Source organism: Homo sapiens, chromosome 1 (assembly GCF_000001405.40).
Source record: "Homo sapiens chromosome 1, GRCh38.p14 Primary Assembly".
In the NCBI taxonomy this organism is placed as follows: Eukaryota; Metazoa; Chordata; class Mammalia; order Primates; family Hominidae; genus Homo; species Homo sapiens.
In genome coordinates, this window is record NC_000001.11 from 221,850,441 (window position 1) to 221,867,684 (window position 17,244).

A 17,244-nucleotide genomic window follows, 5' to 3' on the forward strand; every position below is an offset into this window, starting at 1 on the left:
CCGAAGAATCCAATTCAATGACCCTAAAAGCATGGTACTCAAAGAATCTAAGTCATGGAAATGTAAAAGTCTCACAATATTCTTTGTTTATATTTTCCCTCAGTGGAACTACTAACTTGGCTATGTGACATTGGTGAGTGGCTCGGTTGTTCTGCACGACTGGCAACACACCTATAAAATACCCTAATCAGACAGTTCTTTGCCTCCCTCGGGACAGAATGAGAAAACATGAGATCTTATCTGTTGTTATGACCCTAGGGTGTCGCAGACAAAAGAGCTAGATAAGCCCACATTTCTGACATCTTTAAGGATAATGATAATGCTCAAAAATAAACATTTTTTCCCTCTATTTTTTTTTAAACAAAGTTATGTTCAATTTTCAGTTGGTAAGCCAGGTGCAGAATGCCAACTAACCCTTCCACCTCAAGTTGTTGTTGAAGGCTGCAGATCCAGGAAGTAGTACTGATGAAACCTATTTTGTTTGGAAGCAGCAGTGTTAATACATCAATTTTGACTGACCTCCCTTGCTCTTCTTGGATTTCAGCCCCCATACCTGCTGTTTTATGAATTCCGTTCAACCCTAATTAACCAGAATATGAAAGCTGTGTCCTCAGTAGCCAGGCAGTGAGGGCAGTAATTTGACGTGGAACATGAGGCCCAACCTTCCAGGGTGGTAGCACAGAGTGATGACTGGATCTCAGACGTCCTGCCTACAATCAACCAGGTTTAGGAGCGGCATGCAGGCCATGTGGAATTGAGAGCCCCAGCAGACTGGGGCAGGGGGGAGTTGCCCAAACACACTTGTCAGGGTTTTCTGCCTTAGAAAGAAAAGCAAAGACCTATAGGAATGAAAGAGTAACCAACTGAAGGAGAGGTTACCCACAGCTGGTGAGGAGACCTGGGGGTGTGGCATCATGGAAGCTACTGAAGAGAAGGTTATTAACAATTTTCCTTACCTAAGATTTAGGAGAATTCTAAACAGAAAAAGTGGACCAATTTGATTTTGCCATGTTTTTAGTCTGCATTTCTTATTGTTTTCATCACCAGTTTATTTTTATAGCATAACTCATATAAGAAATATCCAAGCCAAGTACAGAACTGAAAGTCCCAAGAGGAGAACACTGGGAGAGGAAGAGCTGAGAAAGCCAAATGCCAAGATTTTTATCTAGGGGGGTTCATGGCTCTGAGGACCCACATCCCCAGACAGAAGCCTCCAAGCTAAAGGGATGTGGAAGCTTTAGGAAAGTCTGGGGTGGAAGAAACTGCCAACCCTGTCCTGTAAACAGGTTTGCTGTACAGGTAAAAAAAAATCACAGCTGTGACAGGGACATACTAGTAGAGAAATGCTACTGTACTAAGAATCCACCTCACTTTCTCTCCCCAGCCAGTCCAGCCAAGCATGCAGCAGGCATACAACCAAGATAGCTGCTTCTTCCTGTCCTACCTCATCCCCTCTGACAGTTCCATAATAACCTGTGTACACTTTCTGGCACCCTTGCTTCTCCAGGTCACGCCTTCCAATGGAAGGGGAAGCAGTGACAAAGGTGAAAATCATGGCGGTAACAGAAGTCATTTACAGTGCGGAGTCTCCAACCCACAATCACTGGGCATCCCATGGCTTTAAGGTATGATCCATTCTTGTGCCCACCTGCTTCCAGGTATCTCACAACTTTTTACTGAGGATTTGTCTTGAGTTTCTTCCACTCGCTGCAGAAGGAGATGCTGAGACAAAGATTAGGGTACAAGTAGTTTAGTTGGGAGACAATCACAGGAAATGCTGGTGTGGGGGGCACGGAATGTGAGACAGGGAAACTAAGGCAGTCAGTAAAGATATATTACCAAGAAGCAAATTACCATTGTGTGCAACTGAAGTTTAGTCCTTCTGGGGAAATCTAGGAGAACTCCATGAAACGTGCATTTCAGAGGACACAACCAGAGAGGTGGGAAAGGAGGGTATTGACACCCTAACCCCATCAGTATGGGTTGAGAGCTCTTGTGAAATAGAAATTAATTCCCTGGCATTTCTGGCCTGCTGCACCAGTGGACAAACCAGTCAAAAGCTCTCAAACAGGCTGGGCATGGTGGCTTATGCCTGTAACCCCAGAACTTTGGGAGGCTGAGGCAGGCAGATCACCTGAGGTCAGGAATTCATGACCAGCCTGGCCAACGTGGTGAAATCCTGTCTCTACTGAAAATACAAAAATTAGCTGGGTGTGGTGGCACATGCCTGTAATCCCAGCCACTCTGGAGGCTGAGGCACAAGAATTGCTTGAACCTGGGAGGCGTAGGTTGCAGTGAGCTGAGACTGTATCACTGCATTCTAGCCTGGGTGACAGAACGAGACTCTGTCTCAAAACAAACAAACAAACAAACAAACAAACAAAGCTCTCAGGCAAGGGTTGATGGTTGGAAAGTGTCCCTTATTCACTAAAGTGGGAAAGTGGGAAGGGTAAGGGATGTAGCCTGGGGCACTGGAGTTTCTGCCACACCATGGGAAGTTTTCACTGGTGAAACCCATTTCTGCTCCACTGCCTATCTCAGTGATCATGAGCTGCATTAATGACTTCTGCTTGAGTTCCACTCCTGCAAAATTATAGCTGATGCAGGAGAGGGCTATTTCCCAACTAGGTTATAATTCAGGTAAAAGATTCACCAGAGTGTGGCCACACTCTCATCTTCTTAGAAATCTGTCTTCGGGATCTCAGGACAAGCTTTCTAGACTGGGTTAAATGGGTTAAATTCATAATTCATATGGCACCAACCAGGGTCCCAACCAAAACCAGTCTTTCAGTCTGTTTGCTGAAAGCCATGTCAGGTCCTACACAGAGACAGCTTCAAGGTGAGTTGTCTTACATAGTGATTATCTGAGATTAGTGTCATCTTCTATCTTCTTCTTTCAAGGATCTGAGTCCCATTTTCATAGGCCTGATTTTTGGTCTCAAACTCTATGTTGTGGTCTCCCACAGAGTCTGTCAAACATGATGCCAGTTCTCCAGAGGTGAGTGTCCGGTGTAGACCTCCATGTACCCCACATTTTCACATTGCCTTGTCTCACTCTGTAACCATGTTGTGGGTTTCTGTAAGATAGATTTGCTTCTCATATATTCCTGTGCTTGCCAAGTATAACTTACGACATTTGAGGATCGTCATTAAATGTTAGTTGAATTTCTGCTTAGGAAAGGCAGAAACAAGACCCAAGGTCTCATCCAGGTGCTTGTGGTTCAGGATCATAGCTAGTCCTGCCATTCCACCAGGACACAGAAGCCTCTCCTGCATCACCTCCTTGGACACTACATGTTCCCGAGGAGACAAGATGGGGTAAGGGCTGTTCAGCTTTGAAGCTTATGTTTATGACACAGGAGGAGCAGAGGTCAACAAGCAATGTGTGAACACAGAGAATGGGCACTATCATCTTCTATCTGCAGGAAGAAGGAGGGAAAAAGGGGGAAGCGGCAGCCAAGAACACCTAGGCAGCTCCAGGGTGTGCTGCTCCACTCTGCCCTTGGACATCAGAGTGGAACTTGGGCGATGCTGCCAACATGACATGTGCATTTTGCTAAATTTCTGAAGAAGGGTGGAGACAACAGTAGCAACAACCTAGTACTCAGGACCCAAATTTAGAAGGAAACATGGAGTCAGTCGGTCCACTTTTTAAACTTTCAGATGAGAACTTGTCTCTTCATAGATGAAGAGACAGAAATGTGCTCAAGGTCACATAATAGTTGGTGACCAACCACAGGGATGCTTTTGCTTTGAGAGATGCTGTAGGGTTGTCAGGCCTCTCTTTACAAAAAGACTCATAAGGAGTCTACATCCCCTAAATATAGACATAATGTGCCAGATAATCACAGATCATTTTTCTAAGCATGTACCTTACGCAAAGACACCCCTAAGACTAACCTCAAACATGCACACACACACACACAGACAAACAAACGTGCGCATACACATACACACACACAGACACACGCACATACATTACGAGCCTCTTCCAAGGAACTTGAACACAGCTCCAAACCCCTCCATTTCGGTGTGTTAGGAACAGTTCCAGAGAGGGTGGATTTGGCAGCAGGTGTGTGAATAGTGAAGTTATTCCTGCTTTCTTTTTTTTTTAATTTGTTGAGCAATTCTACCTTCATGTATTTAGGGTTTATCTATCTGTGACCATCATTGTAAAAAGTGCTGAGATACGTAATGGAATAACTCTAATATAATATGGACATACTCTCCATCTTTGGGAGTTTGATAGTTTAATAGTCAACATCAGACCCAACATTCATGAAGCAGGGACAATGCAGAGTATGATTAAATGCTGGGCATCTGTGCTAGAGGAGCTCAGAGGTAGGTGAGGTTCCCAGTGGCTGAATGGGGATGGAGAAGAAGTCATGGAAGGGGTAAGGATGACAGGCCAGGAAGCTTCTACCCTCACAGAGGCAGAGGCAGAAATGGGTTCTACCCATACCACAGCCACAGGAATGGAAGAAGGCAAAAATGGAATGTCAGGGAGCTATTGCTCCTGCCTTCAGGCCAAAGTCAGGGATCCCAGGCAAGACTTGGGATGAGGAGACCTTGCTTGTCCCAACTAAGTTCCTCAGTGGGGAGAATTAGTCTGTGTGCATTGTAAGTTAAAAAAGTGGAAACATACCTGCTCATTCCCTCAGGCAGAGGCTTAATTAACACAGAACTATAAAATGTAATGCTCAGTTCTTCAGAAGATAATGTTAGGTAGTAATTCTCAATTTGCATGGCACTGGGTTTAGAAACTTCATGAAGATTTATAGAAAGGGTGAAGCGCTGTTACAACTGCTAAATGAGAAAATGTAAATCTTGAGAATGAGTGGCAGGGGAGAATGGAGAAATTATAAATCTGCCAAATGTTTGAGTCAACATCATATTGGAAGATAAATTGAAAACATCTGACTGTGAAAAAGCATGGTTGCAGACTGCACTGACAAGCTCTTGGTTAAGATGGTAGAGTATAAGAAGTTGAGAATCACTGCATTCAATGGTTCTGTCTTTGTGTCAAATTCCCGCTAGTCCAGAAAGGATTGCTTTTCTTAGTAGACTATATGAGTTGGTGAAAAAAGATCTCTATATAAAATAAACATAAAATGGAGATCAAATAATAAAATGTAGAAACCATACATAAACATCTGGACCAAAAGTTTTAAAAAAAACAAACACGGAATCTCCTACAGACATTTCCAAATATGTAGTCACTTGATTGATTGACAGAATTCTCATTTCTTTCTTTCTAAGCACTGAGTATTTTATAGAAGTCACTTCCATTATAACACTTTTATTCATGTATATTTGCCCTGCATAATTTTCATCGTGGTAACATTTCTCCATCTTGAAAAAGCAATCAAAGGCGTCCTTGAAGGCTTCTTTTAGAAAATGCGCATTGCCCTTTAACAGTACAGCCATGATTAAATCAAATTGTAGGCAGAGGCTTATCCAAGCAAGTAATGGACAAAAAAACAAGTTATCTCACTCTTCTACTTTTGACCAGGTGTCCCTCATGCCACACCTCTCCACTTTCCAAAGCTACTAGTTATTCTTAAGAACAGTTTCCCAGCACATAGAAGTATGTAGACTCTAAAGTTTAGAGAGTATAAATTATAGAGACATGATGGCAGTAGATCATTGTCTTCTCTTTTTCCTTGATAAAATATTTAAGTGACAAATTTTAAGATGGAATGAGAGGAAATCTGACAGGTAAATGCTCTGTAGCCATCTCAAGAAAGACAGATTGTTTTTGAATGTGGCCAAAAAAAAAAATAAATAACCCTAAATATCCTGTTTAAATCAGTTTGCAAATTTTGAGATAAAAATACCAAAGAAGGAAATGATGGATGTAGTTATGATACATGATCATTCAAATCACCTTAGTAATAGAGTAACCCACACACCTCCCTCTCCTAAACAGATGAGAACATTAAGGATCAGTGACGTAAAGTGACTCATCCTGACGCAAAATGAATTAGTAGCAAAGCTAGGGGTAGACCTCAGACCTCTTAATTTTTTTTTTTTTTTTTGCATTTCTTCACCATACATTACTCTTTAATAAGCTGGAATTGAATCCATCTGCTATGGTTTGAATGTTTGTCTCCTCCAAAACTCATGTGGAAATTTAGTTGCTATTGCACCAGTATTAAGAGGTGGGACCTTTAAGAGGTGATTAAGCCCTGAGAGCTGCACTCTCAGAGGTGGGACTGGTGCTGTATGAAAGGGCAAGTTTCACCCCATCCTGCTCCCTCTTGCCCATTTGCCTTCCATCATGGGATGACAATTTCAATCATGGGATGACACAGCAAGAAGATGACCCCTTAAACTTGGACTTCCCAGCCTCCAGAATTGTGAGACCATATATTTCTTGTCATTATAAGTTACCTAGTATCAGGTATCAAGTAGCAAAAAATGAACTAAGACACCATATAAACATCAAAGTAATTTATTTGATTTGTTTGAAATCGAGTCATTTCTTCCCCCACCACATCCCCTGTACCTGTTCTGCCCCATCTAAAGTGTCCTAAGGCACAGATGTGATCATCCTGTTCTTTTGACAAAAACCAGTAACAGCTCCTTATTTGTGACTAGGAGAGACAGCCAAACTCCATAGGCTGGTTTCTCAGTAGCTCTTCCATTCTTCACAATGCCTTTTCACTTGGAGTGTTTTCCAACCAAACAAAGCCACCTGCTGCTATACAGCCTCCTGTACTCTTCCTATTCATTCCTCCTGAAAAGCCCCCGCCACAGTCTTCTCCGGTGAAAATTCCGTTTGTCCTTAAGGCCAGACCACATACTGCCCCCTACAGGCAGCCTTCCAGGACTCAGCTTTACGCAATTGCTCATTCTGCTTTGCTTGTTTCTCTGTATCAGCTTTTATTACTGTCTGCCACCTGCTAGTTTGCAAGTTCTTTGAGGGAAAATTCCTCTGCTACTTATGCTACAATTCCTGTGCTTTGTACAGCACATAGTAGGTTTTCAGTTAAAAACAATTGTTGAAAAAGTAAATGTGTAGTTTAATTAAAACTATAACAATCTCACCTTCCCCTACCCAAGAATCAGTGAATTCCCATGAAAATAATCCAAAATTGGGTCTTGGTAAACAGGTAATTATCTTTTTTATATAGTAAACTTGTTTTGCACAATCTCTGCATAACCCTAGTCTCTCAGCAAAACTCTCAGTAACTGGAAATTTAAAGTCAATTTTAGATTCAAAAGCGACACATTCCTCTGGGGAAAAAAATAGACAATTCTACACTGAATTACCCAGTTATACACAGAGTCACGGTTTGTCACCATTCATTCATTTCAATGATGCCACAATGCCAAAGAAATGTTCTATTCCAGAACTTATTAAATGTCATTAAATACACTATATGCTTCTGAAAGTACTTATTTACATTTAATATCAAGACATGTCCTTTGGATATTACCGAATAATAGTTTTTGGAAGAAAATACCAGATAAAGAAGGGAGTTGGGGTGGGGGCAGAGGGTGTGCACTATACTGCCTGTTTAATATGAGGCTACGATGCTACCAAATTCAGCAGTTAAATTTCTGGGGACACAAAATTATCCTCATGGCACATCTCTTTTGCAGTTAATAAATATAGATTGTAGACAACAACGGTGCATAGTTAGTCTAATAGAGAAAGCACTTAGTACCTCCAAATCAGGGGTTGGCCCTCTGTTTTATCCAAGAAAAAAAGACAAGACCTATAAAATGTGGCCTGGCTGGTCATTTTCCTCTTTTTTCCTTTTTCTCCTTTATGATGATCTTATTAGTCCCTATTTTCAGGTGCCTGGCCTGAGAAACATTCTTTTTTTTTTAACTGGATGTTTGTACTTACAAATTAGCAATACTGTTGTAAGGTATAAAATAAATTTAAGTGCAGTACATCTAATCCCTCCTCCTGAAACATTTTGAATTTTACATACTTCTTAAAATGGGAAAGAAAGAAAGAGAGAAGGGAGAAAAGGAAGGAAGGAAGGAAGGGAGGAAGGGAGGGAGGTAGGCAGCGAAAAGAGAGGGAGGAAGAAGAAGGAAAGAAAGAAGGGGCTGGGCATGGTGGTGCATGCCTGTTAGCTCAGCACTTTGGGAAGCTGAGGCAGGCAGATTGCTTGAGCCCAGGAGTTTGAGAGTAGCCTGGGCAACATGGCAAGACCCTGTCTCTATAAAAAATAAATACATAAATCAATAAAATTTTACAAATTTTAAAAAGGAAGGAAGGAAAGAAAGAAGAGAAGAAAAGAAAAAAGAAATCATGGCCCAGCAGGACAAAGCTAGAATGGTGTAGGTGTACCATCAGCTGTCTGGAGTTAGTGTGTTAAATCAGTGGTTATTCAGTCCACCTTTCTATAAGGCATATTTTGAACATGGAAAATAGGGCTGAGAAAAGCCACTTCCTAATGGGCAGTGCTTGTGGGCAAAGTTCTACCACTATCCATTGCCCCATTCTGTAAGGATGTAAGGAGGGAGTAAATGAAGACATGGTGTGTCACTTCTGAAAGGTTGCCAAGGGCTGTGTCATCCCTGGAGCTCTAGATTTGTGTTCTGCCTCATCCAAATGAATGCTCTCTTAGTGGGACTTGTAAAGCTAGAGCTTTCATACACACTTTCCTCCCAGATCTGGCAGGCCAGCTATACCGCATCCAATCAATTGTGATCCAAGCTGATTCTACTTAGAAACACCTCCCAATTAGCATGCATCAACATGGTACAAGAAAGAATTCCAAACAGATCAATTAGAGAGCTGCATTGTGAAGAATTCATTTCCCAAGGGTCTCATTTTTTTGTCCTTTGTGAGTTGGAAAACAATTTATATTGTTTTTCTGTAAAAGATGACCCCTCTAAAAATATGAAATGATCTAATTATTGATTTTGAATGCTACATTTTTTTCTCTGTCTGACAGTCATTATCTACCAGACTGTGAATTGTATAACTCATCTCGTTACCCTGCACTCTTCCCCCAGGATAATGCATACATCACAGACTATTATGACCTACGTGTGTCTACATGTAGCCCAGGCATTAAAAACACAAATAACCTCAGTCCAATATTTAGGAACTTGAAAGTAATCACAGAATAGGAAAACATTAGCATCAAGGTTATATGTATGTATATATATATATATGTACACACACACACACATACACACACACACACATACATACACACACACTTATAGATACATATACGTATATATACATACACACACACACACACACACACATATATGTATGTAGGCCCGCCGCAGTGGCTCACGCCTATAATCCCAGCACTTCGGGAAGCTGAGGGGGTGTGGCTCACCTGAGGTCAGGAGTTCATAGACGAGCCAGGGCAACATGGCAAAACCCCATCTCTACAAAAAATACAAAAATTAGCCAGGTGCAGTGGCACGTGCCTGTAGTCCCAGCTATTCAGGAGGCTGAGGAAGGAGAGTCACTTGAACCCGGGAGGTGGAGGCTGCAGTGAGCCGAGATTGTGCCACTGCACTACAGCTTGGGTGACAAAGCTAGACTCTATCTCAAAATTTATATATAGATGTGTGTATGTACAAAAATAATAATGCCTTGAATATATTGTATCTTTCTTCGAAATACTTCAAAATATTTCTATAGGCCAGTTGCAGTGGCTCACTCCTGTAATCCCTGCACTTTGGAAGGCCGAGGTAGCTGGATCACCTGAGGTCAGGAGTTTGAGACCAGCCTGACTGATACAGTGAAAACCTGTCTCTACTAAAAATACAAAAATTATCTGGGCGTGGTGGCGGGTACCTGTAGTCCCAGCTACTCGGGAGGCTGAGACAGGAGAATTGCTTGCACCTGGGAGGCGGAGGTTGCAGTGAGCCAAGATCATGCCAGGGGACTCCAGCCTGGGCGACAGGGCAAGACTCTGTCTCAAAAATGAATGAATGAATAAATAAATAAATAAATAAACAAATAAATAATTGTATAATCATTTTCTTATTATCCAAACTAAATGCTAACACATTTTGAGGATTTAAATAAAAGTTCCTGCTTTACAATTATTAGCACTCTGATTTTAATCAGTCATTGATTTACCTGTTTTTAAGCATTGTATTTTAGAATACCTACATGGAAAAGAATAGCTGTATGTGGATTTTTTCAGTCTATGCTTCTTCTTTCAATTCTTCTTGATAAATGAGATCTACTTTCTTCGGGACAAATAACCACTTCTTTAAAATTCGAGTCTTTTCTAAAAATATGTTCACGTTTTTCTCAGACTTAATTCCACCTGAGCTATGGTTCTTCCTTCTTATATGGAGAAGGTGAATAGTTTATCATTCCCAGCTGAAAGAAACTCATGTGGGGCTACTGGTAGATGATTAAAAGTAGAAAAAGCGGCCGGGCGCGGTGGCTCACGCCTGTAATCCCAGCACTCTGGGAGGCCGAGGCGGGCGGATCACGAGGTCAGGAGATCGAGACCATCCCGGCTAAAACGGTGAAACCCCGTCTCTACTAAAAATACAAAAAATTAGCCGGGCGTAGTGGCGGGCGCCTGTAGTCCCAGCTGCTTGGGAGGCTGAGGCAGGAGAATGGCGTGAACCCGGGAGGCGGAGCTTGCAGTGAGCCGAGATCCCGCCACTGCACTCCAGCCTGGGCGACAGAGCGAGACTCCGTCTCAAAAAAAAAAAAAAAAAAAAAAAAAAAAAAAAAAAAAAAAGTAGAAAAAGCAGGAAAAGTCCAGTGCCTGAGCAAGGAGTCCGTGAGTCTGGCCCCTACCCTCCCATGAACTCTTTTCTCTCCTTGGTGAGTTTGCTACTCTATGCCAAATTCCTTATTTGCGGTGATTCCAGCCCTCCTCAAAGGATTTGACTGTAAAATTGCTGTGTAGATGAATAAAGATATTAATCTTCGCCAGTCTGCCTTGCTGCAGTTTTTTTCTGAAGAAGTTGGAGAAACCCTTTTCATTTGGGTTATGTTTTAGTGGAGATTTTAAGCACACAGTAATTTTCAATGTTAAAGGACTCAAATCTGTGATTGACCAGATTGCTTTGAGACTCCTTTCATTGCTTCTATTCTGAAAAAGTTCTTACCTCTCGAGGTTTTAGATGACTTATTTCTACTATTGTCTTCTCATTTTTCTGTGGTTTTCTTTTTAATAGTTAATTCACTTTTTTCCAGTTCTAATTTACTTTTTGTATGTCTGTACTATTTTTTTTCCAAAATGCTTATAGTTTTTATGCTACTGTATATGGAGAGTGGAGAATCTCACATTTTTCCATTGAACTGTAATGCTTTTTTTTTTAACCATACATTGAGTTATTATATATAAGAATCAGACTTCTGCAAGAATATTACTTCTTCCTCTTTTGAAACCTTGCCGCATCACATACTTTGTTTTATTTCTCTAAAAAATTGTCTTATGCCCTGAGATTGTAACCTTTTCCAGGGCTTAGGGACTATATCCTTTTGAATCCTCTTATTTTTATCTTGATATTTAGGCCTCAACTCACAGTATGTTGTTTGAGTTGTATTCGGACAACATACATCAAAACATACAAGGATAGAGGAAGGGAAAGACAGGTGTTGTAAAAAATGCTTTTCCTGAAAGCAGAGTCAAGGCTGCTAGTTGAGTTCCTTGGCTGCTGATCTGCAGAACAGCTTGGAGTACCATCTTTGGGCTTCTAGAGAGACCTGCCTTTATCAGATTGTCCTGAACAAACAGGGACCCAGGAGAACCTGTGACCCTGAGCCCTTCCTAGCCCTCCCGTCACACTTAACTTGATCCTCCTACTCCAGCCTTTCCATTTGAATCTAAATGGCAGTACCAGTTAGGATACCAGGCAGAGTCCTGAGGGAGCTCAGCGCAACACTGATACCCTCAAAGTCACCTCAATTGCTTCCCCAACCCCCATACTTTATGTAACTAGACTAAGATAATTCCACATCCATTAAACTTCGTTTTTGGGCAATGGAAGTGCAGTGACAAACTGCGGCCCGAGTCCTGGAATAACAATCAGCTCTACCATTTCTTGTGCAGTTTTTGTGAGCCATCAACTATTCAGTCTTTTGGTAGAGGCTTTTCTTTCTATAGACTTACATGCTTTGGCCATGTGTTATCTTAGGAAAGATATTTCTATATTTGTCATCCTTTCTGGCCAGAGGTACCTCGAGCCGTTAATATTAGAACCAAATTCCTTCAAACTTCATAAACCTTGGTATAGAATGATACTAGACAGCCTCAATTCCCCTTATAAGAAATATGCTTAATATTCTAAGTCCCAAAAAGGATAATCCTCACTGGGGAAGCTCAGGTAACATTGTGCTCCATCTCAATTTCGTAAGGGATGACTGCAAATTGAGTCCTGCTCGCTAAGGTTGTGTAGAGTGAGCCTGGGTTGAGTAAGTGTAGCACATCCTTGATCTGCCTCCTCTGCCCTTGGAACATGGAAAGTTATCAAATTGTCTTTAAAATGCTTGCAAACAGTACACTGGAATTTGGAAAAAGTGAAATGGCTTAGGAAAATTAGATTCTAGTGGGTTTGTGTTTGAATCCATATTCTACCTTGTTGAGCGACAGACTTGGGCTAGTTACTTCATCTCTCTGAGCCTTGGTCTCTGAATCTGTTAAAAAGAATAATGGCTACCTTAATGGGTTGTTGTGAAAAATTAGTCATATGTGTTGGAAATGCCTGGCCCATAGTAAGCTCTCAATGTGATGTGGCTATTATTAGGATTGGAGTAAGTAGGGTTTATTAGACGTTCTTGGATGGTGTCGGCAGAGATCAGTGAGGATGAGTATCAAGTTCTTCCTGGTGTTCCCTAGGCCACTGCCAGAGTGAGGACACAGGATAGTATGGGCCATTAGGTTGCTCCAGCATTTTTTGGTGTTAGGAAGGGTTAGTGTGACATTTGATGGTAAAGACCAGAAATTGTAGCCAACAGCTATGCTAGATAGCTGGGGTCTAGCCAAGTTTGTGGTGTTCCTACTCATCCCACCTTGCTCAGTACATCTTTCAAGGATTCTTCTCTCCAGGTGCAGTGCTGAGGGTCAAGGCTGGTTGCAATACAAGAAGAAGAAGAAGCAGGCATGTGTGGTCTTAGATGGCTAGGGCCACCTGACAGAGTCTCGTGGGCCATTCCCAGAGAAAAGTAAAGGGGCAGCTCACATCTACCCACATTGAGGCCTGGTGCCTCCTTTGGTAGAGAGGTAGAGAGCCTTGTTCAGCCACTTGGCCTTATCTTTATTAATAGAAACTTTGGTAATATCATCTGGGAGAAAAATAAAAATGCTGGCTAAAGAGGATATGTATTTTAAGATGATACAGTTTATATTTAGCAAGTGGGATTACACTCCTTGAGAGACATGAAAGAAGAGGAAGCGAGATTAGACCTGAGCATCTGGCCTGGGCAAATGTCATCTCCCAAAGTGGCCGTGCCCATGACAGGTTCACACCAGTGCTGAGGAGAGCTCTGAGGACTGTGCGACACTCACAGCTAATCCAACACCCAGTTTCTCTACTGCCCAAAGAGCTGAGGGGTGATAACCAAAGTCAGGGCTGCACCTAGGAGGGAGAGTGAGTCAGGCCATGGTACACATTCATGGGGCAAAATACCTGTGCACTTACCTAGGAGTGATTTTGGACAATGTGAAATAACCCGATGGATGTCAGGGCCTTGAGATATAGCATACCTCACCTCTGAGGTACAGATTATTATTCTATATTAAAGTGCTCTAAGAACTGACATCATTGTTTGAAGAAGAGCTGGGTGATGTGCAAACTTGGCATGCAACTATCACCCATCAATGAAGAAAGTGTAATCTGTTGTTGGATAACTTTTCAATTAAAACTTCCTTACTGTTTTCCCTAAAGTTGAATTGCCACAAAAACAACAATGCTCACCCACATATTTTGAGCTGCTTTCCATTTATCTCATTTTATTCCCATAATATCCATGTAAAACTTGTTGAATAGCCTTTGACACTTTAATATCAGTTACTAATACAGTCATTATAGAATTTTTTAATCTAAAAAATTATATTAAAATATAAAAAAACCCTTCCACTCACAGAAAACCACTGTTAATATTTTAGTGAGTCTATTTTCAATATATTTTCATGCATATTTTAAGTAGTTTAGATATGATGCATAAAATGTTGTACACCATTTTTCAGCTAATATTCTACTATAGATGTTTACCATGCAAAGAGCTTATGTATGCAAAATTTACAAATATAATTTTAAAGCTGCAAAGTATTGCATTGAGGGATGTGCCATAATATTCTTAATAAATTCTCAATTTCTGGAACTTACTGATCACCAATATTTTCTCTTACACTGTTTCAGTAAAAACTTCTGTGGATACATCATGGTCTGAGGTGAGCTCTAGGAGCTTGCTTTTACAAATGAGAAAGCACAAGTGCAGACACTTGGTCACCTCCTCTATGCATGCTTAGCCTGCAAAAGTGCAACAGCAATGAAAGCACAACTTTTTCTCATGCCTGAATCATTACAAAGAGGCAAACGGAAAGAAGAATGTCAACCCAGCCAAGGGAATAAAGCAATCAGAGAATTATAGACCCGAGTTTGTACCTGCAATCATATTCATAAGCTTACAACTAGATCAAAACTAAGAAAAACATTTCAGACCATTTTAGACCAGTGGTTACTAATCTGTTTATTAAAACTAAATAGTTAAGAATTTATTAAAACTAAATCAGTAGGGCAAAGACAGAGCCTGAAAATCTGTATTAAACAAAAGGAAGGAAGAAAAGAAAAGAAAAAGCAGATTTCCCTTTCCCTTTGCAGCAAACTTGCTAGCATTGCTTTGAACTTACTCAGTAACCTCAAATTGCCAACTTTGAAAAGATGATTGCCAGGTTCTATTTGTCCCTCAACCCTGGGATGGTCAATACAGCAAGATCAATGTCACCAAGGCAGATGGGCCAGTGGGCCTCCCATGGAGAGTGCTGAGGCTCCAGTGAGTCTCCTGCCAAAAGGAAGAGCCAGCAGATGGATGGAACATGCAGCAGTCTGAACTCAGGTGTGGGCACATGCTTGGTAGCTCCTGCCCACACATAGAGGGGACCTGCTGACCACATCCCAGAGGCCTCTCTTGATGCCCATAGTTAGCATCCATTTTGTGTCAAGGATGTAGAAAAGAGCTGGCCCTGTAACCCCAGCTTACATAGAAATAAGCTGGTAAAGGTTACCTGGAGGCTACAACAAACAGCTGGATATGGCTGGAGTTGAGCTTAGCAGCATCTCATTAGTGTGTTTTGGCGCCACACAGACGATTCCAAATACGGCCATGGTGAAAAGATTAGTGCATAGGCTGGAAAATTTGGGTCAACCAGAAGCGTATAGTTTGGGAGAGTTGTGTTAGGGTCAGCTTTTCGCACTTTTAAAGATGACATCAGAGTTTTCTGGGCTTATGTTCTCCTAATGACTTCCAGACCGAGCGTGCTCCATGTGCAGCCCAGAGGATGAAGCCTCCAGATGCTGCTAAGGAGCCCACCTGGGACTGACTCACCCAGCTGGATTTCCCTTCTAACATCATGGTTTGTCATGAAAACAGGTCAGGTCTGCCTCTGAGGTTGTGCAGACAGCTGAAGGATGATTCAGGGAGCAGATCCCAGCTCATTCTCAATTCTCCTATCAGCTGGCCAGCTTGGGCCCTGAGATGGAATGATTGCCTGGCTTTGTGTGGCCATGAAAAGAAACAGATGCAATTCCCTCTTGCATAGTGAGGCTCTGCTGAGTGCTCGATGCATGGAAAGATCAGATGCCTCCAGGCAAAGTGGGATATGCTTGTCTTGCCTGGAAATGTATTGCCATGGCATTTGGAGTCACCCAACACCAATGGCATCCATCTAGAATAAGCAATGGAGATAATGCTAAGAGGCACAGTTCAGGAGGAAAGGGTGGCTTTCCCATTTTTGGTAGACAATGAAGATGTCTATGATGTGACATCCCCACGAGGAGCATCTCTTCTTGGGTGACAGGGAAGAGAACAATGAGAGCCACAGAAAAAGGAAAATGGGAAGATGCATGCACCCGGGGGTAAAGGCCATATTGGAGTGGAATCATTGGGACACATGTTTACTACTGTTCTACCTTGCCTGAAAAAACCCATCATGTCACCTGGCAGGCACTTGCTTGATACCATGTGAAAACTTCTTTCCCCACTAGTTTAAATAGCAGGCGTTCACCTAAAACCAATAGAGATAATAGGCTGGAATCCTGGGCTTACCATTCTACTGGCAGGGGAGTCACCTCTGCATCCTCTTTCAGCCACGTTGCATGTTTGCCATCATCTGTAGTTTTTATCTAACCCACCCCATGATCATGCCATATGCCTTGTGGGCACTGGAGTTTTGCTGTGTGTTTAGGACCCTGACATTTTGTGTTTTTAGGACCTGGGTTTTATTTAACCACCCTTTTCTATGGTTCTAGGATTGTCCAATTTTGTCTCCTTCTCTTCTCTCTCTCCATACTCCTCCTACCCTTAACTTCATTTTCTTAATCACCTCCAAAACTCTCCTTGCTCACTTTTTATTCCAAGGACTTGTCTTTAGAATTCTAGTCTCCCTCTTTCTCCCTGTACTATCATGTTATGAGGTCAGAATTGTGCCAACCTACAGGAATGTTTTCACCTTAAAAGCCTATCATTGTGGGTGAAATAGACACTGTAACTACAAAGGCCAGACTTTTATACACACATGCACACACATATATACATACTGTTTCCAGGATATTGAATGTCTTGCAGCAACAAAATGCCACTGTTGCTATCGTGAAACAGACTTGAGGAAGCCTAGAGGCAAAGGCAAACATTTCATACCCACATTACAATACTGTTCCTGGCTGACAGCTTGTTCCCCACTGACCTAGGGCTCATTCTCTAGCTGAACCATGGCCCATCACTGGGGCAGATTCTGATCAGCCAGGATGGTGGAAATTGACTAGTGGCTCATGAGTGGTTGGTCTCATCTGAGTCTGAGGAGGTGCTTCATTCTTGCTATGCACAACTTAAAATCCAAGAATTGTGAGATATTCATAAAGCAAGATGTCGCTTTGACACAGAAGGCAAAGTTTAAGAGCCTATTAAAGACCATACTCTATTAGTTCCTTAAATATGTCCTTATTCAAGTCACTATGGTAATTCTCTGGTATTATCCCTTATGAATAGCTATTCATTGTGGTCATATGGGGTAGAATATCGGATCAAATCATAACTTCTCCATGCCCTGTTTCTTCATCAGA

At 41.8% G+C, this 17,244-nt stretch overlaps 1 long non-coding RNA gene across 1 annotated transcript in view, besides 1 other annotated feature; it reads left to right on the top strand.

Annotated features, from left to right (window-relative positions):
* The window catches only part of LOC124904517 (uncharacterized), a 72,424-nt gene that overhangs the window by 4,512 nt on the left and 50,668 nt on the right, over nt 1-17,244 (top strand). The window contains exon 2 of the long non-coding RNA XR_007066885.1: nt 1,508-1,625. This is a non-coding gene — a long non-coding RNA (uncharacterized LOC124904517). The remainder of the gene's footprint in view (nt 1-1,507; nt 1,626-17,244) is intronic.
* Nucleotides 6,064-6,949: an enhancer, noted in NCBI's record as "NANOG hESC enhancer chr1:222029846-222030731 (GRCh37/hg19 assembly coordinates)". NCBI's record gives its function as "activates a minimal SCP1, AML or CMV promoter by ChIP-STARR-seq in naive and primed H9 embryonic stem cells {active_cell/tissue: H9 hESC(naive and primed)}" and the evidence as "EXISTENCE:reporter gene assay evidence [ECO:0000049][PMID:30033119]".